Here is a 26,016-nt window from a genome sequence, read left to right on the forward strand (position 1 = left end):
AATTCTTAGGTTTTAATTTTTTTAATGTATTTTAAAATTATTGTCATTTTGGCCTGTAATTCAGTATCTTACTTGAAGCTATAAAGGCAGGATCACATATATTCTGAATTTTGATACATATTCCTTTGGAAGAGGAAAATTATTTCTTTCAGTGTGGAAAAAAGCTACCACACCGCTAACAAAAGTCAGCCTGGTTCTAGCAACACCTGTCCCTCATTGCCCAGAGCATAAAATCTAAATTCCTGAGGCCCTTCGCATTTAGATCCTAATCTATCTTTCCAGATAATACTATTTTCTAAACACTCCTTCAGAACATAAGGCTTTTATATATAATTCTACTACCTAAAAATGTATTTATCCTGCTGGAAAACTTCTTTACATTCATCAAGAGTTACCTCAAATGCTACCTCTCCATGAACATTCTAGCATTCCAGACAGGGTTCATGACTCCTTTCTTTGGGTTCCCCAAATAGTTTGTTCTCTTTACTTTAGCAACTATCTCTTCATATTATAATTTATCTGTTCCTATGTCTCTCTTTCCATTATACTTAGTTAATACACAGAAAACATAGCATAGTAACAAACAGAAAGTGCTCAAGAAAAAAACAGTGAATTAATATGTGAAACCTTTAAAAACGACTGCCCCTGGCAAATGAGATATTTTCAATTAAAAATAAACCTATTTATTTAAGAATCTTAAGCAACCATGGACAAAGACCATATAATGTAAAAGGTCCTTGTCTTTAAAAATGTTTACTATCTTTCTGTGGAGCATTAGTTTAAAAGCTGTCATGGGAATTGCAAAGAGCATTTTTGGAAACAACTGGGGAACTGTGAATATGGGCTATATACTGGGTGGGGTTTAATGATCATATTGTCGATATGTAGAATGACCTTATTCTCAGGAGTATATACTAAAGTATTTGGAAAGAGGGTAATGATCCCATTTATTTTAAAATGATTGAGAAAACAACCAGATATAAATATAATATAAAGAAAGAGAAGGAAAAGGAGATAAAGTAAATGGTAAAATTTTAACTGGTGAATCAAACTGAAAGTATATGATTATGCATTGTATTATTCTTAAAATTTTTAAGCTTTAAAAATTTTAGAAACAAAATGCTGAAGATAAAAATATATGAAAAATTAAACTACATATAGAATGGGTTAAGATATCTGATACGTGTATGAGTGAATATACACATATATAGGTCAGTGTGTGTATATATTTACAAAGCAAAAACTGTTGGAAAGATACTAGAGTACCTCCCAGAATTTAAGGCTAAGTGGAGTTACTACACACCAAGAAGCAGGCAGAGACCAGGCAGCCCTGAGATCTCAAAAAGTTTGTCTGACAACCTTCCCTCTGGGATATGGTCACTAAAGTGATTCAGCTACCAAGAGCCCTCAGTTTCTGTACCTGTCTCTCAGCTCCAAATTCCCCTAGCATATTTCTAAAATGAGTACCAGTATTAACTGAACGGCACATGAATTTTTAAAAGTCATGAGTATCATTCTGTCTCACTCTCAAATTGATTTCAGTTTTTCAAATCCTGTTTCTATAAATCCAACCACAATTTCTCTCTCGTTGAAAAGTTTGATTCTTCAGAATAAGAAAACAAACTCTAATTCTTCAAAAGTACATGATAAGATGATCCTTCTGAACTGCCATGATATTCTTACCTAGATATTTTAAATTGGTTCAGTAAATTTTGTAACTATGCAAAGTCAATATACCTCAAATCCACTTTGTGGAGAGAAATAAATTAATATAATTACATCTATGTTGTTCACAGTTTTTGTTTTCCAGATAACGCTTATCTCAAGTGACCAGATAGCCCAGAAGCCCCAAAATGAGGAGCAGGCAGGGTTCCAGCGGATTTGGGGACTTAAATGATGCTCTAGCTCCTTTTGTTATTGATGAATCCTCATTACCATTTCTTAAAACAATCCTCATTACCATTTCTTAAAACAATAACCATTAAGAAGATAATATAGCAGTGTGAAAAATTCTCATGATAAAATGCTATTTTAAAACTTTTCTTTCAACTATAACTATATAACACAACACACACACAATTATTTTTTCCTAAAGGCCAAATATACCCAAATCTTAATAAACCATGCCCAGCCAGTTTATTTTTCTTCTCAAGAATTATGTAATATTTCTTTTTGTAGTTTTTTTCAGATAAACTCTGTAACATGATTATATTACTTTTGCCATTAAATTTTTTTAAATCAAATAAAAAAAGTATTTCTTAGATCAGATTCATTCATTTATCCCAAAGGTTCAGGCTTGGAAAGGAAATGACAATACTCTGTAGTCCATCTTCGGTATCTATTGTCCAATGTTCTATAAAAACATTTTTTTAACCCTCCCAATTATTCATGCCACTCCCATTGTTCATATTGTTCTCATTTATTTATAAATCTGAAAAACTAAGTAATAAACTGTTTATGACTATAGCCTCACTGATCTCACTGGTTTAAATACTGGCAGAGAATTTTAAACCAAAGCAGAACTTTACTGTACTGCACACTATCAAAATTAAATACTAAACATCAGTCACAGCTTGAATTTGTACAATCAAACCTTCCAATGAGCTTCAAATGTTTTATAAAAATTGTCTCATTAATCTTGAACACATATTTATTTTGTCCAAAACATCTTCTTTAGAAAATAATAAAATAATTCTTCATATTTCACTATGCTTTCTTCAAATTTGTAACCTATCATGGTCAAGGAATCATGTATTCTGGTTAAAAAGGTATTCAATACAGCAGAGTGAGTGCCACATATGAACTGTTGAATGAACCTTTATAAGTTCCTGAACTTAAGTGTTAATTCCCTGGGTCTAAATAGCAGAAATAATAATATCTTTTAAGGTAGCCAAAGGAAGCAAATATAAAACATTATGTAAAAAGCAGCAATCATTCTTTCAGAGATTAAAGAAAACATTAGAAAAAAAATTAGCAATATTTTAGTATAAACTGGTTTTATGTGTTATTTTCTAAAGACCCTGAGGACAAGGTCCATCCTATTTTCAATTTTATTATATTTCACATAAATACCTACTATGGTGCCTTTACTCGGTGGTATTGCACTGTTATTATGAAACAGAAAAACAGAAGTTATACAACCACTTAACATCTCAATATTAGTGAACTAAGTAATAAAATAAAAGAATTAAAATTTGGTATTTAATTGTGAGCCAGTGAAGTAGCTACTAATGAGATAGGCAGGACAACTTATTTTCCAATATCATAGAGAGCAAATAAAGTGACATACTCAAACCTTTTAAATATTTGGATAGGCCAGGCGTGGTGGCTCATGCCTGTAATCCCAGCATTTTGGGAAGATGAGGCGGCGGATCACAAGGTCAGGAGTTCAAGACCAGCCTGGCCAACATGGTGAAACCCCATCTCTACTAAAAATACAGAAGTTAGCTGGGCATGGTGGTAGGCGCCTGTAATCCCAGCTACATGGGAGGCTGAGGCAGCACAATCGCCTGAACTTGGGAGGCGGAGGTTGCAGTAAGCTGAGATCGTGCCATTGCACTCCAGCCTGGGTGACAGAGCAAGACTGTCTCAAAAAAAAAAAAAAATGGATAAATATCCACTGCTCTCCCACTATCTATCTGCAACAACTCTTGCTCTCTTTAAGCAAAAGACATTTCAGCCTAGCTTCTGACTGAATCTTTAAACCATTATTACAATTTCAACCTATCACAGACATAAGGCAAATTTTCTTTAAAGGTACACATTTATAAATCAATAGGAAAGAATCAATAATTCAATTAAATAAAATGGCAAAGAATATGAGTAATTTGGAAAAACAGAAATACAAATAGCTCAAATATTGAGAAGCGTAACTATCATTAAGCTAGCATAACATTTTTGAGTATTTCATATGAGCCAGACACTGTGTTTTACAGACACTCATTTAATTCTATTTGTAGTAGGTATCATTATCACCTACATTTTACAAATGAAAACAGTTCAGACAAATCACACATTAAGTAAATAATTGAGCTAAGATTCAACCCTTAGCAAAATGGTTCCAGAGCTAGCACTCCTAAACACTGTTTTCTTACCTCTTGACCTCACTCAAGTAATAAATTAAAACTGTGATAAGGCTGGGTACAGTGTTTCACACCTGTAATCCCACCACTTTGGAAGGCCAAGGCGGGTGGATCAGGAGTTTGAGACCAGCCTGGCCAACATAGTGAAACTCTGTCTCTACTAAAAATACAAAAATTAGCCGGGCATGGTGGCACATGCCTGTAATCCCAGCTACTCGGGAGGGTAAGGCAGGAGAATCGCTTGAACCTAGGAGGTGGAGGTTGCAGTGAGCCGAGGCCACACCACTGCACTCCAACCTGGGCGACAGAAACTCTATCTCAAAAAAATAAAAATAAATTAAAAAATAAAAACTGTGATGAGATATCATGATCTCCACAGTATAGAACAATAATAATAAGTATTTTGAAAAAATACAGTCTGTATGTTATTCTATATGCACTACCTGCCTCTGGAAGGATACACAAGAAATTGGTTACCCCTGGAAAAGGCCACTAGATGGCCAGGGAAAGACGTGAGACTTACTTTTCACTCCTTTGTAACTTTCTGAAATAATAATAATACTTTGCAGGCTCATGTTTATAGCACCTTAACCATTTGACACTTTCATACAAATAAAGAGTTTTGTTTCCTCAACCACACTATGGAGTAAAGTGAGTATATCCTTAATAAATGTTATCACAGCCACCACTGTGAAGGTGTGATAGTCTACTTAAAAGAAAAAAAAAAATCTCAACTTTTACCTTTAGTTCTAAATGCTATTGAATTGAAAATCTGTTGTAAAATCAAAATACTCTAGTAATAATAAAAACAATTTAAATCCCTGCTCTCTCACCAGAATTCATAAGTTTCCAAAGTTGATCTACCAGGGCTTCATTGCATAAGGGAGACTCCATGTTCTTAGTAAATGGTGGGTTCTTAGTCAACATGTTGAGAATCTTATGCCTGAAAGATTAAAAAAAATTAAATTTTTGCTGACCTTTTACTGACAGATGCTATGAGTAGGAGACAACATAAACACTGAAAAATTATCTGTAGTTCCTCCTTCCTATTTTAACACTTTCTCTCTTAAATCTAGCTCTGTGTTTATTTAGTTTAATTTCCAAAGACATGATGTTATATCCTGAATATTTATTACGTGTTTTTTCACTAAAACACTCTGGGGTTTGGGTAAGAGAGTAATTAAAAAAAAATTCTGGTGGATTTGGTCTTTCTAAAATCACCTTACTGTGTGATGAGATCTTCTAAAACCTGACTCCACATAATCCTAACCAATCTCTCCCATCCCACTTTCTAAAATGAACATTCCACTCTGCTTAGATATATCTACAATGACTGGTCAGTAAGTATAAAAATCTTAACATGGAGCAAAAAAATCTACATATAGACCAAGAAGTCTGTATTTGAGATAATAAAATGAACATATATGTCATTACTGTATTTGTAAAACATGGAAATGTGCAGAAGTATTTTAAATATAAAGTTTGTAAAAAGTTTTCCTTAAAACAAGCTGAGGTTGAGAAGAGTATCCTAAAAGAGGGTAACATTTAAACTCCCCTATTGGGAGTTTTTATCTCATATCAGAGGCTACCTGAACATATTATGGAGTTCTCTAAAATACAGGGCAACGCAATGAAAACAAAATTTGGAAAAGAAAACATCCACTGCTATGAGTAGAAGACACCATTAAGAGGCTAGAAAAAAGAAAGGAGAAGTAAGAAGAAACCTACTGCAGTAGTCTAGCATTTAACCAGCTCTAGCACCAAGTTTGAGAAATTACTAAGAGTAACTGCAATGCTTGGATATAAGTGAGGAAGAAAGAAATTGGGTTGTAATTCTTATGGAGGTCAGCAAAACTTTAAAGAAGGTGAACTGGGGAAATTTTTACATTTAACTGACAGTAGTAAGACATTAAATTGGATTTGTAATTGAGAAAGAGATGGGAGAAAAGTGAAACTGCTAGGTTGTAGTGTAAGTAATTTAACCCCTTTTGGCTGCAATTTAATGTCTATAAACCTAAAAGATGTAGATTCTAACATCCTCTTGTGCTTTGAAATTTAAGACTGTGTAAAATAAGACTACGGAAGGATTATAAGAATAAAAGTGAAATGTAATTATAGAATGCAATTTACAGATATGTAATATAAATGGGGATATAAATCTTTATGGATATTTCATATCCATATTTTCATCTTTATATATAAACACAATTCCTCTCCTTCAGGCCTCATACTCTATTTCTAAGAGCCGATCAGTATTATAGGTAAATAACATATTTTAAAATGTGAGTTTGTTCTTTAGTGCATTTTAAGTTGTTATACTTTTAATTTGTTTGATGAAGAAAAGTGAAGTTTCTGTCTGGCTGCTTTCCAAGTCACCTAAATTACTCTAAATGCCAAGTAAGGTCTGCTAATAATTTTTTTTTTTTTTTTTTTAGCTGAGTGCGGTGGCTCACACCTATAATCCTAGCACTTTGGGAGGCCCAAGGGCCCAAGGGGGTGGATAACTTGAGGCCAGGAGTTCGAGACCAGCCTGGCCAACATGGCAAAACTCCGTCTCTACTAAAAATGCAAAAATTAGCCAGGTGTGGTGGCGCATGCCTGTAATCCCAGCCACCAGAGAGGCTGAAGCAAGAGAATCGCTTGAACCCAGGAGGCGGAGGTTGCAGTGAGCCGAGATCGTGCCACTGCACTCCAGCCTGGGCCACAGAGTGAGACTCCATCTCAAAAAAAAAACAAATAACTTTTATGTTGAAAATCAAATTTAAAAAGGACATGAATAAATGCAAAAGATATTCCCATATTTTCAAAAATCATAAACAAGCATTTTATGTGTAATCTGAAATTACTCAGTTCACTATAGGACTTACAAAATATCATAGCATCATAGCACATAAACTAACCTTACATAGGGTACAGGGTCATTCTGAATCATATTAAGTAGCCATTGCAGTTCTTCATAACTTCTGTCCACTGAAAATAAAAGAAAATATATTTGTTGTTAATTATAACAAATTAAATAATGAATAATGAGTGACAAGCAGGGAGTTTACATTTAATATTTAGGACTCTGCCTTAGCTGAGTTTTCAATCAGAGTTGAAGGTTATAGGTAAGCTCTTATATTTTTATGCAATGGCCACTTTGTAACTTTTATAAGTATCAAGCTATATATTAGAGCCAAGACATAAAGTTGCATCAATAATGTATTTTTTTACTAAAGTTCAAACCAATGGCAAGCATAACATAAAGCAAGTTGTAATTAAGAACCCTAAATTACAGATGATTAACTGGACAAAATCTGTTTAAATACAATTGTCTTCCTAGATGCTTAAATGATGGAGAGGTTTGACACTCAATGGTATCTCAACTATATTATATAGTATAGTCCACTGTTTTTGCCCAAGTGGCTTCTTCCATTTAAGACTAAAGAACAGTTTTACTTTTCAAGCATAATATAAAAGGCAGTTACAAAAATAGTGCTATGAATATAGTTGACATAAAATGACTAGCTATTTCCATTCACCTTTTCAAACAAGTTTTACTTTCATAATTTGAAAAGCTGTGTCTTCAGAATTTTATTTGCAATACTTTTCATTTCTTCCATTTTCTAACTTGAGTACCAGTATTTAAATTCATAGTTTAACAAAACATGAAGTCTGAAGTCATAGTTCACATTTAGACATGGACAAAAGCGAAGTGTCACAATTAAATTATATTCATAGTTCACATTTAGACACGGACAAAAGTGAAGTGTCACAATTAAATTACATCTATTAAAGTTTAGCATTCTTTTGAAAATCCTAATATTAGTATTCTATTTCATTTAAGGTAGTACTAACTTATAAAATCTTACTCATATTTATGAGACATTAAAAACTATCCATACATCTTGGGAAAGAAGACTGGCAACAATGACATATTTGGTGGATCTCAAAACTTGTCAAAACAGAAATGGAGAGAGATATAGGATTACATTTTCTTTCATGCCAAAAAATACATTTAACAACAAAATCACTGTTTTTATAAATAATTATTTCTAACAGGAAAGGATATTTTAACCTTCAATAAAAAGGAAGCACAAATGACAGTCCTTTTCGAAGTTGGGTCAACACATAAGAATATACACATTATGCTGTTATTACCCTTTATTTTCTGACTGTAAACAAGTATTTCTACAGAAATTTACCAAAAATTACAAAGATGTAAGTATACTTTCCCCTACTTAAAAATGAACCAGTATCTACTGAAGAACTTCTCTCAGCCCTTCCTCTCCTTCCACAGTCAGATAAAAGTTTAGCATACTTTTAAGTTTTTTACTCCTCTCATATTTTAGTGCTAGAATCTGGAATTTTAGACTTAGATTATATTTCCATGTTTCTTCTATTTTCATATTTTTTAAAAATTATTTTTGAAATATGCATTACATTTTACAACCAGTTTAACAAATATTTAGGCTTAAGTATTTGACAGGCATAATTATTCATCACTAGTTCTTTCATTTCACATTTTCACCAGTCTTGAGTTATTATTTTGACTCACATCCAGGTCAGCTGAAAATTATCTTTGGGAGTTATGTTTTTAAGAATGTTACATAAGAGATGCAGCTTTAATTCTCCAAGGCTACATGAGCAACAACTTTGGCAAAGCAGAAAATCTTGGGTCATAATTTTCCCTAAAAATGACATAGCCATTTGTTCACTGTCTTTTGAATCTACATATTCTAAAGAATTCAGAGGCCACACTATTCTTTTGCCTTGCACCATAATCTGGTTCTGATAGTCCTAGAAACTCACACATTTTCCCTTAGCCTTAAAAATTAAAATTTCATCAGAAACTACTGTAGGTCTGCTTCATTTACGCCCCCCCAGAGTATTCTGTTGTTTCTTGGATTACAGCTTGTCTTCTACCTGCTCTATTCTTCACGACTTTTTAACATTTCCATCTCTGTATCTTTCTCCCCTAAATTAAAAAAAAATATGTGTATTCTTCCCTTAGCGACTTTTTTGGCCTTATGTTTTTTCTATATTCATGATGCCTTGCCTAATTCCCCTCCTGAAGTTTGTGTTTATGTCTAGTCCTCTACTTTCACAGACACAAATTTTTATACAGGTGTGAGATGTTTTCTTGAATCCTTCTTAGAAATTTCTCAAAAATATTCTATTTCCTAAAATAACGTCCAATTAAAGCTACAGGATGAAAACTGACTTCTTGGAAAGGCTAAAGATACCTATAATTTTATTCCTTTCCCTCATTTATTAACTCTTATGTGAATTCTACATTTATCAAAGATGATTTCTAAATCACTAAGTCAAGAATTTAAAATTAAAATATCTGTGTTATACATATTACGAAAACCCCAACAACACTGGCTTTAAAAAGTAAATAGTTCTTTCTAAAATGATATGAGCACGTATTTCTAAAGTATTACCTTTAGTATAATCAACAACTGCTTCCAAAGCTGCTATCCTAATGTCCACAAAGTGGCCATATTCAGCATAAGATTTAAAAAGAGCTGGATCACTTGGCACATGTCCGTTCTTCTGAAGTACCCGTATGGCTCTCAAACAACTAGGGAAAAAAATACGTATGTTAACTACTTTCACTGAGGTATTATGAATCAGTTTGTTTCCTAGGCATTAGAGAATCCTTTGTGGCAATCAATTTAAAAACTGATGTGATTTTAATCCACCTTCAATTTTGTAATAGAGTCACAAGCCATATAAAAGACATCTTAGTCAATGATGAACTGCATATACAATGGTGGTCCAGTAAGCTAAAATTAATTTATCACTAAAGAAAAAATATTTTTAATATGTTTAGTGTAGTCTAAGTCCACAGTGTTTATTATGTCTACTGTAGTGTACAATAATAATGTCCTATACCTTCACATTCACTCACTACTCACTCACTGATAAACCCACAGCAGCTTCCAGGCCTGCAAGCTCCATTTATCTTATGGTAAGTGTCCTATACAGGGGTAACATTTATTATCTTTTATACCGTATTTTTACCATACCTTTCATATGTTTGGATATGTTTAAATATATAAGTACTTACCATTGTGTTATCAATTACCCACAGTATTCAGTATAGTAACATGCTTTACAGCTTTATAGCCTAAGAGCAACAGAGCAACAGGCTATACCATAAAGCCTAGGTATACAGCAGGCTACACCATCTAGTTTGTGTAAATATATGCTGTGACATTTGCATAAACAACAAAATTGCCTAAAGACTAATTTCTCAGAACATATCCCTGTTGTTAAGTGACATATAAGTATAATAAATTTTTGCAATGATAAAAATTCAAAATTAATATCTAAAGTCTGTTAAAAGAAAACAAATTCCAGCTGGGTGTGGTGGCTCACAACTATAAACCCAGCACTTTGGGAGGCCAAGGCAGGTGGATCACCTGAGTTCAGGAGTTCGAGACCTACCTGACTAACATGGTGAAACCCCGTCTCTACTGAAAATACAAAAATAGCCAGGCATGGTGGTGCATGCCTGTAATCCCAGCTATTCAGGAGGCTGAGGCAGGAGAATCACTGGAACCCAGGAGGTGGAGGTTGTGGTGAGCCAAGATTGCGCCACTGCACTCCAGCCTGGGGAACAAGAGCGAAACTTGGTCTCAAAAAAAAAAAAAAAGAAAACAAATCCCAAAACTCAAAGTTTCAAGTGTCATTATACTTGTTACAGGAATAGTTTTAAGAAAAAGAAGTATTTAGCATAAAATATAAATATTTTCTCCAAATGTTTTAGTAATATAGTTTGTTCACTATATAGAAAGTTAAAATTGTTTATGTTTGAATCAACTTTTAGCAAACTCTTAAATTGGCAGAACTGCATGATAGCCATATAAAGCTGGTAAAAGTGAAAAGTCATCTTAAAAAAAGGCTAACAATAGAGAATGTTTATATAAAATCCAACGAAATAAAAGAATATGCAGACATCAAAGCAATGCTTATGAAGAATTTGTGATGACATGAGAAAGTATGATATAAACAGAATACAAAACTACATATACAGTATAATCTCAAGTAATTAAAAATTTATGTAGTTAAAGAGAGAAAAAATTTAGAAGGACATTCTCCAAATACTAATAATTTATCTGTGGGTGGTAGAATCATACAGAATTTTAGTTTTCTCATTTTACTTTACTATATTTCCCAATTTTCTATAACAAAAATAAATTTCTTTTACAGTTATAAGAACATATAACTTTAAAGTAAGGAATTTAATCATACCTGACAGTGATGGTATGCCTGTAACTCGGAAGAAGTTTTTCCATATTCAAAAATCTGGTGATTTCTTCAAGAATGAGTCGCACATCAGGATTTAAGTTATCCAAAGTTCTAACTTCATTATTCACACTGACTGCAGGTGTAACAGAGTTGGCCAGGGCATCAATCATTTCTGCACGATAATAGTTATCTGAAAACTAGGCCAAAGAAAAATTAAGTGAAGATAACAAAATTAACTCTTCTGATCAAAATTAACAAAATAAAATTTGTATAATTACATTTTAGATAAAATAAAAATTTTCCCAAAACACAAGCAAGTCCTCTGGTAAACATTCAACTCCACCCTTTGCATGTGGTCACTCTGAAAACAGTAAGAGATTCACTATAACAATACATTAGTTTACTGATGGAAAACTAATGATAGAAAATAGGAGGAAAGCATAAAGAAACTGGAGGGTTAATGTAGGAGTTCTAGCCAGAGAAACAGAAAAGAGAAGGAAGCCACTAAAAAAAAAAACAAATCCTAATCTACATGGCAGTCAATTCTCATAGAAGCAATTTATTGAAAGGTGACCTGGATATGGCTTGATTTATACTCAGCAAATCAGATGCTGTGGCCAGGGAAATTCAACATGGAGCAAGCAAATGAATTCTATCAGCATGCTGAGAATATTTTGTGATAACACAAACTGCCAAGAGACTGGAAGAAGACTATCTGCCCGCTATTGACTTCTATTGTGGAGGCAGAAGCTCACACTGACACACATAATGCAGAGTCCCTAAACATTTTTATGTTCAAATACGGGGCAGGAAAAAAAGCAAGGCACATACAAACAAACAACACCAAAGAAAAAATACCCCAAAAGTATTCACTATAAAGTTTTGCTTTCAGACCACTATAATGATTGAAATTTTAATTTCTATAGCTTCAGTTTACTGGAGCCACAGAAAACAATCATGTGACTTTGGGTAAATCTCTTAACTTTTATAAGCCTCAATCTTCTCACATGAAAACTGGGACAATAATAGTATTTAAGGCTGGGAGTGGTGGCTCACGCCTGTAATCCCAGCACTTTGGGAGGCCAAGGCCGGCAGAACACTTAAGGTCAGGAGTTCGAGACCAGCCTGGCCAACATGGTGAAACCCCATCTCTACTAAAAATACAAAAATTAGCCAGGTGTGGTGGCAGGCGCCTGTAGTCCCAGCTACTCGGAAGGCTGAGGCATGAGACTCACTTGAACCCAGGAGACGGAGGTTGCAGTGAGCCGAAATTGCACCACTGTACTCCAGCCTGGATGACAGAGCAGGACTCCGTCTCAAGTGAGCCGAGACTGCACCACTGTACTCTATTTAGCCTGGGTGACAGAGCAAGACTCCATCTCAAGTGAGCCACGATTGCACCACCGTACTCCAGCCTGGGTGACAGAGCAAGACTGTTTCAAAAAATAATAATAATAGGCTGGGCGTGGTGGCTCACACCTGTAATCTCAGCACTTTGGGAAGCCAAGGCTGGCAGATCATGAGGTCAGGAGTTTGAGACCACCCTGACCAACATGGTGAAACCCTGTCTCTACTAAAAATACAAAAATTAGCAGGGTGTGGTGGCACACGCCTATAATCCCAGTTACTTGGGCGGCTGAAGCAGAACTGCTTGAATCTGGGAGGTGGAGGTTGCAGTGAGCCGAGATTGTGCCACTGCACTCCAGCCTGGGTGAGAGAGCCAGACTCCATCTCAAAAAAAATAAAATAAAATAAAATAAAAATACATAAATATAGTATTTATTTCAGCGGTCTGGTGGGGATATTAGATCATCTATGTTTTGGCATAAGGCATGGAACACACAAGAACTTATTATTAGTGTTACCTATTGTAGTTATTATTTGCATTTACGCTATCCTTAGTATTCTGAAGTACTAAGTCATATAAAACTACTGAATTTACAACACCTAACTATAAAAACTGATTAGCCTTCTTTTCAAAATGAAAACACAGTGAGTCTTATGTGGTTCCACAACAATAATGAAGTATAAAATTTAATAATATACCAGTGTGTGCCACACAAAATCATAAATGATGACAAGCATAATGGCATGCTGTAAAGTAACATGGTAATACTAAAAACATTACCACACAAATGGGTAGCAGGGCCTTACAGCACAATTCCCAGAATACATTTCCTGTGTAATTTTAGACTCTCAATTTCTGTGTCTTACTTTTGTCAAACAAGGGTTGACAAACACCTTCAACCACAGGAATAGGCACATTTCAAAGAATTTAAGATGAGTAAAATCACTATACAAAGTAGAAAGAAGTATAAAGGAATTAAATTATATAAATACTCCACAAAAAAAAGACATAATGTATAAAACATCTTCCTCTTCCATTTGAATATAATGTGATTTGCCACCATCCTAAATTCTAATTTCTTCAAGTAAAGAAAATTCAAGTGTAGGGGAAAAAAGGAACACTAAAAATTAAGGCCAAAATAAACCAGCAGACTAGGAAGGAAAGAATCTTACCAAAATGTCTTTAATTTTTTATTAAAAAAATACGTATTTTAAATCCAGAAGACAGTAGGTCAGGTATAACAGTTCTCAAAGGAAATAAAATATCTGGTTGAGAGGAAATTTAAATCTAATTTATCTCCACTGTTGTGTTTTTGCTATTATACAATGTAATAAGTTCTGCGGGCTTTGTGATTAAAGGAGATAAATTAAATACTTCCTAAATAGTAGCCAGATAATGATTGAGAAAGTGACTGTGACACAGAGACACAATTAAATGAATATATAAATATAGGCATCTAGTACTTGTCAAGTGTTCTGGAGACACAGAGATAAGATGACTTCTTCAAGACAAGAACTATTTTATTTGCAAGCAAAACAGAAAAAAGAGTAAGAAGACAGGAAAAGTAATCAAATTGTTCCAGGAGTCAAGAAAACAAAACAAAATGAAACAATGCATCCTATCAGGAGGATACGCTGATCTTAGAAAAATAAGGAGTTTTTCAATAGGTAGAGGAAGGAGAAAGGCACCCTTGGGTTAAGGAGACAACATTAACAAAAGTACAAGAGGCATGAAAATGAGTATGTTAAAGGAAAAGTTACTGATGCAACTTCACGGTAAAGGGGTACAAAGCTGGAGGGGTGGACTGGGACCACCAACATTCAAAATGTTTTTGAATGCCATGCATAAACTTACTTATAAGCACTGGACAGTCTTTGAAGGTTTTTAAGAAGGGAATTTTTTTAAGGAGGAAAGAAATTCAGGTGAGCTCCATCACAAAGATTACTCTGGTTTAATTATAAAAATATTTTAAGAGGAAAGGTATTGGGATATTGAGCTAGGAATGATGATAATGTTGCAACTGCTAATGATAGGTAACATAACTGTCGGGATTCCTCTAAGTGCCTTACATATATTATCTTGTGTAATCTCCACAAAAACCCTATGAGATAGAGGTACTATTACTAACACGCTTTTTCTTAATAGATGAAGAAACTAAGACACTGAGATTAAGTAATTTGCTCAAGATGACACACGTTTTTCAGGAGTCCAGGGAAGAATAAAGGCCTGAACTAGGATGCTGAAATAGAAAAGACGATGTAGGTATCACAGCTGCTGAAAGGAAGAATCAAGTCTTATGCTTGGTGATATACACTACAACTATGATATTACATTCAATTTAACTTCACAAATAGATTCATTTTTACAACTTTATCTCAGCTAACCTACTTAGCGATTTAGGAATCTATTGTAATAAACTATTTCTATATTTCTTAATATTATCCCCACACATCAGTGGTTCTCAACACAATTCTGCCCGTCAGACTTTCTGGCAATGTCTAGAGAGATTTCTGGATATCATAACTGAGGTAAGGGGTGCTACAAGCATTTAATGGGTAGAAGCCAGGGATACTGCTAAACATGCTGCTGTGTACAGGACAGCCCCACAACAAAGAATTATCCAACCCGAAATATTAGAGGTGCCATGATTGAGAAAACCTGTTATACATGAAAGAGTATGAATATTTTACATCATAAAGCTACAGCATGAATAAGGCTGGATAGTCTATGGAAGTTCTGCTTACCAGTGACGACTTATGGTGGCTCACACCTGTAATCCCAGCACTTTGGGAGGCTGAGGTGGGTGGATTACTTGAGGTCAGGAGTTTGAGACAAGCCTGGCCAAAACAGTGAAACCCTGTCTCCACTAAACATACAAAAATTAGCTGAGTGTGGTACAAAAATTAGCTGAGTGTGGTACAAAAATTAGCTGAGCATGGTGGTGGATGCCTGTAATCCCAGCTACTCGGGAAGTTGAGGCAGGAGAATTGCTTGAACCCAGGAGGCAGAGGTTGCTGTGGGCCGAGATCACACCGCTGTACTCCAGCCTGGGCAGGAGAGCAAGACTCTCTCTCAAAAAAATAACAAAAAAAAGTTGCTGATGGAAGATACATGATATATGTAGGTATATAGTAACCTCTTCTGGAAAAGTATATAAATAGGGTAAAGAAGCGCTCTCAAAATCATTTAAAAAAGTGTTACACATGCTTTCTGATTTACACACATACACATATGTGCACACACCTGCATATATCTTCTGATTCTGTAAGCCTCCACAAATTTAATTCATATGACACAGAACTGACAGCCACTTACTATAGGGGGATAAACAGGACTACCTTCCAATCTCATCAATTCTTATAATGTGATTGATATAACTTTGTGGAGGAAGAGTATCTAAAATGAAATAAAAATATAGATTAATATATTAACACTGAGGTTCCGGTTCAAGATGGTTGATTAGAAGTAGCTAGTGGGTGCCTCTCTCACAGACAGGAATCAAAGTAACAAGTAAATATGAACAATTCAACTATTATCATCTTAAGAGGGCATGCTGTAATTCATCAGAGAAGCGACGGGAATCATGGAAAGCAGAGGAGAGCAAAGCCCAGCAGCCCGCTGAACCAGGGCAAGTGTGGAGCTGGAAGAAGCTCCCGGATGTGGGGAAAGGATAAGTGAGTGAGAGATCCCTGGGGTTCCACACTCCTACTAAGAACTTTTACAATCCTAGCAGCAGGGAGCCGACACCTCTTGGCCCCTCAGGCTTCCAGTCTAATACAGTGAGCTGCCCGAAGACTGTAGAGACGCTGCTGGAGTCTACGTGGAATCCCACAGGCTTTGGCCCCTGAGCAGTCAGGTGCCAGCTGCTACTGCCCCACCAGGGAAGGAGCAGGCAGACCCGGCATTTTCACACAACCCAAAGACAGATACGGCAGCCACAGTACAGAGCAGCAGGCAGACAGCAGAATGTGAAGAAAGTCTGCTTCAGCTACTGTTTGCTGAACAGGTCCCTGCTTCTTCAGCGCTGGGTCCACAGTGCAGCCGCCCTGCCACTGCATGTGTATTTTGGCTGTGGCCCAGTGTAGTGAGAGCCCAGCCCCAAGAAGCCAGGGACCTGCCCTTTGGCTCCTGCCACAGCAGTTTTTGTCACCACAGGCCACCACAGATGCCACACTGCCACCTCGAGGCCAGGGAGAGAGGGGGAGGCTGAGCACGTTTGCATGTCCCCAACAGCGAAATACACCTCCACTCCTATAAAAGGGAAGTGCAATCGGGCCACGCATCCCACAGCTGCCAGCCTCCCTTGCTCCAGCTGAGGGAGTCCGCCTTCCTCAGCGAAAGAACAGCAGCACGGCCACCCTGCTCCCACCCAACCGTTTCAGCTGCCAGCTGGAGCCCTTCTGAGAGCCCATGCTGACAGGTCTGTGATCAACCCTGGGGTTCCCACCACCTGCGTATTCTGCCACCAACTCAGCTGTTACTGCCTGAGGCTTCCCATACACCATCGAGCAGGCCATTTACAGGCTCTGGGCTTGGAGGTTTGCCTCGTCCAGTCCACTACCTCCGGCTTTGTACCCCTTTACCATGAAGGTGCATCATTAACTTTTCTCTTCCTTTACACACTGCATTTTCATGCCTCTTGTACTTTTGTTAATGTGTTCTTAACCCCAGGGCACCATTCTCCTTCCTCTACCTATTGAAAAACTCCTTATTTTTTCCTCTTGGTATTGATTTCTAATTTTATTCCACTGTGGTCTGAGAAGATACTTGATATGATTTCAATTTTTTTGAATGTATTGAGACTTGCTTTCTGGCCAAGCATATGGTCAATTTGGGGGAATGTTCCACGTGCAGATGAGAAATACATATTCTGCAGTTGTTGGGTAGAATAATCTGTAAATGTCTATTAGGTCCATCGGGTCTGAGCTTAGGCTGACCCAGCCAGCTGACAGCACCACAGCTGACACCCACCTGCATGTGCCAAAAGATGGAGCCCCTCTCCCTCTCTGCTTCAATCAGCAGCATTACCACATTGGAGAACAGGAAAGCCACAGAGCTGTCTGTATTGGGCTGAGTGAGGAGTTCCAGCGTGAAACCACTCCAGTGGAGAGCCAGGGGAGAGGTGTCTTCTGCGGTTCTCAATCACACTATGGCCTGGAGACAGACGACAGTGTGCATCTGCATGGAGAGTTATGAGCCCCAGTACAGGAGTGTGACAGGGAAAGAGATCACATTTCTGCCTGTCTAAGACTTGGAGCTAGTGCAGCCCCCCTGCAGAGACTTCAGTGCATTTCACTAGGAGCTCCACCAGCCACCCCCGTCAGGGCTGAAACAAAAAAGAGTACCACACAGTAAACAAAGATCAAGTACATACCCATCTGCTTTTACCACAGCTGGCTCTTACCTGGAAGCACCACCTACTGGCCTGTAGGCTGAACTGCATTACCCAACACAAACCCTAATAACAGAAATACACAGGGCTATAGAAGTACAGCCAAAAAAATACCCTACCCAATATACTGTATAGTTGCACCCTCAAGGTGGGAGGAGAGGAAGAGTCCCATCCAAACGAAAGTAAATTCAAAAATCAGAAGTGACAACAGCTACAGATGAGAAGGAATGAGCACAACTCCAGCAACACGAAGAAAGAGAATACTGTGACACACAAGCTCTCTTATCAGTGGATCCTAATGATTTCATTTCATCCTAAATGAAAACTTTGAAATGATGGATGAAGAATTCAAAATATGGATTGAAAGGAAGCCCAAAGAGACACAAGAGAAAGTTGAAAAGCAATACAAAGAAACCAGAAAAACAATTCAGGAGATGAAAGACCAGATAGATGTATTTTTAGAAGAGCAACAAACAGAACTTCCAGAAATGAAAAATTCACTTAAAGCACTTCAAAACACAGGTGCAAGCTTTAACAACACACTAGACCAAGCAGAAGAAAGAATTTCAGAGCTTGAAGACTGGTCTTTCGAATTAACCCAGTCAGAACTGTTTTTTTTTTTTTTAGACAGAGTCTCGCTCTTGTCCCCAGGCTGGAGTGAAGTGGCGCGATCTCGGCTCACTGCAACCTCCGCCTCCCGGGTTCAAGCGATTATCCTGTCTCAGCCCCCCAAGTAGCTGGGACTACAGGCACGTGCCACCATGCCCGGCTAATTTTTTGTATTTTTAGTAGAGACGGGGTATCACCATGTTAGACAGGATGGTCTCCATCTCCTGACCTCATGATCCGCCCATCTCAGCCTCCCAAAGTGCTGGGATTACCGGTGTAAGCCACTGCACGCAGCCCCCAATTTTTTTTTTTTTAAATGAACAAAGTCTTCAAGAAATATGGAATACATAAAGTGACCAAACCTGTAACTTATAGGCATTCCTGGGGCAGAAAAAAAAAAGTAGGAAGTTTAGAAAGCATATTTGAGGAAATAATTCAGGAAAATTTCCCCAATCTCATTACAGTGATAGATATCCAGACAAGAAATCCAGGTAACAACTGGGAGATAATGATACAAGACAAACCTCACAAAAGCATATAGTGGCCAGACCACCCAAGGCCAACATAAAAGAACAAATCTTAAAAGCAGCTAGAAAGAAGTGTCAAATCACCTATAAAGGAAATCCCATCAGACTTCTCAGCAGAAACCTTACAAGCAGGAAGAGATTGGGGGTCTATTTTTCATCTCTTTAAAGACAAAAATTGCCAGCCAAGAATTTTATATCCTGCCAAACCAAGCTTCATAAATGAAGGAAAAATAAAGTATTTCCCAGACAAGCAAATCAAGGGGAATTCATCACCACTAGAACAGACCTATAATAAATGCTCAAAGGAGTTCTAAATATAGAAATGAAAGGATGACACTCACCAACATAAAAGCACATGCAAGCAGAAAGCTCACAGATCCTATAATTACACAATTAAGGCCCCAAGGCAACTACCCACAACACTATGACAGGAAGAAAACCTCACATTTCAATATTAACCTTGAACAGAAATGGCATAAATGCTCCACTTAAAATATATAGAGTGGCCAGGTGCAGTGGCTCACGCCTGTAATCCTACCACTTTGGGAGACTGAGGGCGGACTGCCTGAACTCAGGAGTTCGAGACTAGCCTGGGCAACATGGTGAAAACCTGTCTCTACTAAAATACAAAAAATTAGCTGGGCCTGGTGGCATGCACCTGTAGTCCCAGCTACACAGGAGGCTGAGGCAGAAGAACTGCTTGAACCTGGGAGGTGGAGGTTGCAGTGAGCTGAGATCACGCCACTGCACTCCAGCCTGGGCGACAGAGCGAGACTCCGTCTCTTAAAAAAAAAGATATAGAATGGCATGTTGGATAAAAAACAAGACACTACCATCTATTGCCTAGAAGAGACCCCCTCAATGACAAAAGACACCTACAGACTCAAAGTAAAGGGATGGAAAAAGATATACTACGCAAATGAAAAATAAAAGCAAGCAGGAGTAGCCATTCTTTTTTACTTTTTTGAGACAGGTTCTCGCTCTGTTGCCCAGGATGGAGTGCTGTGGTGCAACCTCGGCTCACTGCAACCTCCCCGTCCTAGGTTCAAGTGACTCTCCTGCCTCAGCCTCCTGAGTAGCTGGGATTACAAGCATGTGCGACCACACCTGGCTAATTTTTGTATTTTCAGTAGAGACGAGGTTTCACCATGTTGGCCAGGCTGATCTTGTACTCCTGACTTCAAGCAATCTGCCCTCCTCGACCTCCGAAAGTGCTGGGATTACAGGAATAAGCCACTGTGCCCGGCCACGAGTAGCCATTCTTACATCAGATAAAATAGACTTTAAACTGACAATAGTAAAGAAAGAAAGAAGCAAAATGAAAGGCATTATATACTGACGAAGTTTAAAACAAAACCAAGAATTAATTTTATACACACCCAACACTGGAGCACCCAGATTCATAAAACAACACCTACACCTAAGAAGAGATTGACAGCAATGCAATAATAGTGGTGGACTTCAACACCCCACTGAAAACACTAGATAGGTCATTGAGGCAGAAAGTCAACAAAGAAACTCTGGACTTAAACTAGAATCTAGACCAAATGGACCTAACAGACATTTACAGATCATTCTACCCACAACTGCAGAATATACGTTTTTCTCATCTGAACATGGAACATTCCCCCAAACTGACCACATGCTTGGCTAAAATGCAAAATCTCAATAAATTAAAAAAAATCAAAAATATCAAGTATCTTCTCAGACCACAGTGGAATAAAATTACAAATCAATATCAAGAGGAACTCTCAAAACTACATGAGCAAATGGAAACTGAACAACTTGATCCTGAATGACTTTTGGCTAAGCAATAAAATCAAGACAAATAAAAAAAAGAATGAAAATAGAGATACAACATACCAAAACCTCTTGGATACAGCAAAAGCAATGCTAAGAGTAAAGTTTATTGCATTGCATGCCTACATCAAAAAGAGAGATCTCAAATTAACAACCTACTTTGGATTGAACAAAGAAAATGTAGTCACAAAAAAGAACAAAATAGTCTTGTGCAGCAACATGACTGCAGTTGGAAGCCATTATCCTAAGTGAAATAACTTAGAAACAGACAAATACCATATCCTCTCACTTGTAAGTGGGAACTAAACAATGGGAACACATGGACATAAAGAAGGAAATAATAGAAACTGGGAATTCCAAAAGAGCGGAGGCTAGGAGGGAAGCGAGGGTTGAAAAATTACCTATTGGGTACAACGGTTACTACTCGGGTAATGGGTACACTAGAAGTCCAAACCCAACTGTTAGGTAACATATCAATGTAAAAACCCGCAGACCTACCCACCCCTTGAATCTAAAATAAATTTTTAAAAGATACACAATATAAAATAATAATATTAATTAAAATAAGGCCGGGTGTGGTGGCTCACGCTTGTAATCCCAGCACTTTGGGAGGCCAAGGTGGGCAGATCACCTGAGGTCAGGAGTTCGAGACCAGCCTGGCCAACATGGTGAAACCCCGTCTCTACTAAAAATACAAAAATTAGCTGGGCGTGGTGGCAGACACCTATAATCCCAATTACTCAGGAGGCTGAGGCAGGAGAATCACTTGAACCCAGGAGGTGGAGGTTGCAGTGAGCCGAGATCATGCCACTGCACTCCAGTCTGGTTAACAAGAGACAGACTCCATCTCAAATAATAATAATAATAATAATAACAATAATAATATTACTTAAAATAAGAAAATGCAGGAAAAGCACTTATGGTACCAAGAATGTACTAAGCACTCAATAAGTGAACATCAGAATCAACATCATCATTATTGAAAAAGCAAGCTTGGATTTTCTCAAAAAAAAAAAAAACCTATGGTTACCTTTCTTTAAAATTTTCCTTTTTTAAAAAGATAGGAGAAGAAATAATAGCAAAATTTAGCTACAAAATTAAACAGCACAATTACCTAATAAGTAGATTATTCTTTTCCAAATAGCATTGTGCTAAAGCTATTCTTATAATACACTACCATTTCTATTTATGTAAAAAAAAATACAAAGAAGTCTTAAGAGCTCAGTTTGCTGATAAGTTCCAAGTTAAAAGTTGATATACTTTCCATAACTTTCTAAATTCTAAATCAATCCCTCATTTCTTCAAGGCTACAATTATTTTCCCAACCCTTTCTCCCCATTCTTACTCCCCACCATCCTCTCTCAGATTTCTTAGACTTACAGAGGGTTAAATTTATATCTATATCCTCTTTGTACTTACATAATTTATACAATAATAGAAACTGGATTTATAGTAGGAGTTAAGATACTCACATCTTATGAGGTAAGTAAAAATATGAGGAAGATGGATCCATTTTCAAGAAATATGCCAAAAGTTATAAAAATAACTTCTAAAATAATGATCTTGAAACCTCTCAAATTCAATAAGCTCCCTCTCTATATATAGATTCTATAATTGACCACATATTCCTCCTCTCCTGTTCTTTCACCTCAACAACTTACAGCTCTCTCTAGATTCAACCTTTCCCAGGAAGCCTTTTCTGGCTTCCCCATCCTTAATTTGGGTTAATCCTTCCAAGCACTTCCTTAGCAGGTTAATTAACCTAATGTCATAATAATTGTCTTATTAAAAATATTGTTCTTGGCCAGGCGCGATGGCTCACGCCTCTAATCCCAGCACTTTGGGAGGCCAAGGCGGGTGGATCACGAGGTCAGGAGATCGAGACCATCCTGGCTAACATGGTGAAACCCTGTCTCTACTAAAAATACAAAAAATTAGCCGGGTGTGGTGGCGGGTGCCTGTAATCCCAGCTACTCGGGAGGCTGAGGCAGAAGAATGGCGTGAACCTGGCAGGCGGAGCTTGCAGTGAGCCAAGATGGCGCCACTGCACCCTAGCCTGGGGGACAGAGCGAGACTCCATCTCAAAAAAAAAAAAATTGATCTTTTGTATGTTTCTTTCACTACAGATTAAGCACCTGGAAAGATCATAAGTTACTCATCACAGTATCATCAAAACCTAGTATTAATGTCTATTAAATAAATGAACTTTAAGTGTCTGACTTAGAGAAAGATAACTAAAAGGTGTCTACTATTTTCCAGTATTTTATATATTTACTATGACATATAGGCTATTTACACACAAAGACTATCTACACCAAGCTTATTCAACACAGCCCAGAACAGCTATGAATGTTCATAAACAAATTCATAAACTTCCTTAAAATATTGTGATTTTTTTTTGCAATTTTTTTTTTTTTTTAGCTCATCAGCTATCGTTAGTGTTAGCGTATTTTACGTGTGGCCCAACATAAGCCCTCTTCCAATGTGGACCAGGGAAGCCAAAAGATTGGACATCCCTGATTTACACGGAGAAAATTTATTTACAAAACCACATACTGACCTGATTAGTAAAACTGGTCCTAAAATCCCAATCTTGGATTTCTTTAAAAGCAGCAGAGATAATAACTTCCCCTTATATGCTCTTAGTCTTGTTACAAAGCAAATAGCTGAACTAAATTACACATTTGGCTTCTTGTAGTTATAGTGTTCCATGAGATTTGAACCTGGTGTTATTAGAAAGAAACTCCAGCATCATATGAATAAATAGCTCATTAAAAAATTTCAATTTTAGTAGGATCCTCAGAGCTATTTTAATGCAACATACATGGTAAAAACAAACAAACAAAAAACCTCTAACAAAGCCTAACATGACAAAAAAAAAGGACTTTATTAAATATTAAAAAAAATTGGAGGCCAGGCGTGGTGGCTCACACCTGTAATATCAGCACTTTGGGAGGCCAAGGAGGGCGGATCACAAGGTCAAGAGAACGAGACCATCCTGCCCAACATGGTGAAACCCTGTCTCTACTAAAAAAATACAAAAATTAGCCAGGTGTGGCAGCTCGTGCCTGTAATCTCAGCTACTCAGGAGGCCGAGGCAGGAGAATCGCTTAAACCCGGGAGGCAGAGGTTGCAGTGAGCTGGAATTGTGCCACTGCACTCCAGCCTGGCAACAAAGCAAGATTCCATCTCAAAAAAAAAAAAAAAAAAATTGAAAATCAAATCCCCAAATCAAGCATCAGAGAGTAATTCAAAAAATAATAGTAATTATGTGTTTTGGGTACATTTGAGGGCTTCCAACAAGCAGGCCAACACAATTTAAAGGTTGACTACAGCTGGGCATGGTGGCTCACGCCTGTAATCCTAGCACTTTGAGAGGCCGAGGCAGGCGAATCACTTGAGGTCAGGAGTTCGAGACCAGCCTGGCCAACATGGTGAAACCTCGTCTCTACTAAAAGTACAACAATTAGCTGGGCGTGGGGGTATGTGCCTATAGTCCCAGATACTTGGGAGGCTGAGGCAGGAGAATCGCTTGAACCTGGGAGGTGGAGGTTGCAGTGCACCGAGATCACGCCAGCGTACTCCAGTCTGGGTGACAGAGCGAGATTCCGTCTCAAAAAAGAATAATAAATAAATAAATAAAAAATAAACGTTGATTGCTGAAAAAACTTTAACGTGGTCCTGAAATTAACAACTTTTAAGGGAAATAATGGGAAAAATAAATAGCCAGTTATACCATCCATCAGATAAAATTTCCCTGGGAACTACTTAGCCACCTATCTATTGAGTGAAATAAAACACTAGATGACTTATGTTAATTTAGTGTTACTAGTTTTAGTTACCAGTTATTAGTTTTATTATTCTAATTTAGTATTAAATTACATGAAAATCTGAGCCATTTGAGCAAAACAATAATGAAAGAATAAAAAGCACATGCTTCCTAAAATTGGTATGCATAGACGAGCTTACTACTCATTAAAAAATGTTGGACTATCATAACAAAGGCAACTAAAAGATAACCTTGGACTCCTATGTCCCTAATATGCCTTATTCTGGGAGAGACCAATGATCATAGAGCCTATCAGAGATGAAGTCAACAGTATTAAACAACGTCAAGAAAAAATGAATTAATGTATTCTTTTACAATGTTAATTTTTAAAGGAGTCTTTACGCTTAAATTATTTGAATGTTAAACTAAAGAGGCAATGTTGTTTTCTTGATTTTCATTAAAAAGTCATCTTTTAATAAACATGCCTGTGCTTTTTTTTTTTTTTTTTACTGTTGTAACGTTTTATTAAAAGTTTCATCAATTTGGCCGGGCACGGTGGCTCATGCCTGTACTCCCAGCACTTTGAAAGGCCGAGACGGGCGGATCACAAGGTCAGGAGATCGAAACCATCCTGGCTACCACAGTGAAACCCCGTCTCTACTAAAAATACAAAAAAAAAAAAATTAGCCGGGCGTAGTGGCGGGTACCTGTAGTCCCAGCTATTCGGGAGGCTGAGGTAGGAGAATGGCGTAAACCAGGGAGATGGAGCTTGCAGTGAGCCGAGATCGCGCCACTGCACTCCAGCCTGGGCGACTGAGTGAGACTCTGTCTCAAAAAAAAGTTTCATCAATTTGATTTATCCTAACACTTACTTGTGTCTTTGTATGTGCTGTTCCTTCTGTCTAGAACAATCTTCCTACATGGGTCCTACTCATACTTTGGGAAAATCCTACTCATCTTTATGACTCAGTTTGAGGGTCACTACTTCTATACAAAACTTCCCTGAGTCTCTCCCTACATCCTTCAAAGTAGACACTATAGCTGACCCTCTCTCTATATATGTGGGTTCCATATCCATGGATTCTGCATCTTTGAATTCCACCAACCTCAGATCAAAATTTATTTGGGGAAGAAAAAGGAAGGTTGTGTCTGTACTGAACATGTATGGACTTTTTTCCTTGTCATTCTTTCTAAACAGTATAGTATTAACAATGATATATATGGCATTTACATTGTATTAGGTAGTATAA

General features: G+C 37.2%; 1 protein-coding gene across 8 annotated transcripts in view, besides 1 other annotated feature; it reads right to left on the reverse strand.

The window, feature by feature from the left end:
- TAF2 (TATA-box binding protein associated factor 2) overlaps nucleotides 1-26,016 on the reverse strand; it is a 102,068-nt gene that overhangs the window by 20,317 nt on the left and 55,735 nt on the right. For all 8 annotated transcript variants that reach the window (NM_001437339.1, NM_001438084.1, NM_003184.4 and 5 more), the window contains 4 exons: nucleotides 11,325-11,518; nucleotides 9,509-9,648; nucleotides 6,983-7,052; nucleotides 4,916-5,025 (listed from right to left, as the gene is read on the reverse strand). In NM_001437339.1, the coding sequence (NP_001424268.1) occupies nucleotides 4,916-5,025; nucleotides 6,983-7,052; nucleotides 9,509-9,648; nucleotides 11,325-11,518 (514 nt within the window). The remainder of the gene's footprint in view (nucleotides 1-4,915; nucleotides 5,026-6,982; nucleotides 7,053-9,508; nucleotides 9,649-11,324; nucleotides 11,519-26,016) is intronic.
- Nucleotides 18,139-18,198: an enhancer, noted in NCBI's record as "active region_27841". NCBI's record gives its function as "activates an Ori minimal core promoter by ATAC-STARR-seq in GM12878 lymphoblastoid cells {active_cell/tissue: GM12878}" and the evidence as "EXISTENCE:reporter gene assay evidence [ECO:0000049][PMID:35858748]".

This window comes from Homo sapiens, chromosome 8 (genome assembly GCF_000001405.40).
Source record: "Homo sapiens chromosome 8, GRCh38.p14 Primary Assembly".
Lineage (NCBI taxonomy): Eukaryota > Metazoa > Chordata > Mammalia > Primates > Hominidae > Homo > Homo sapiens.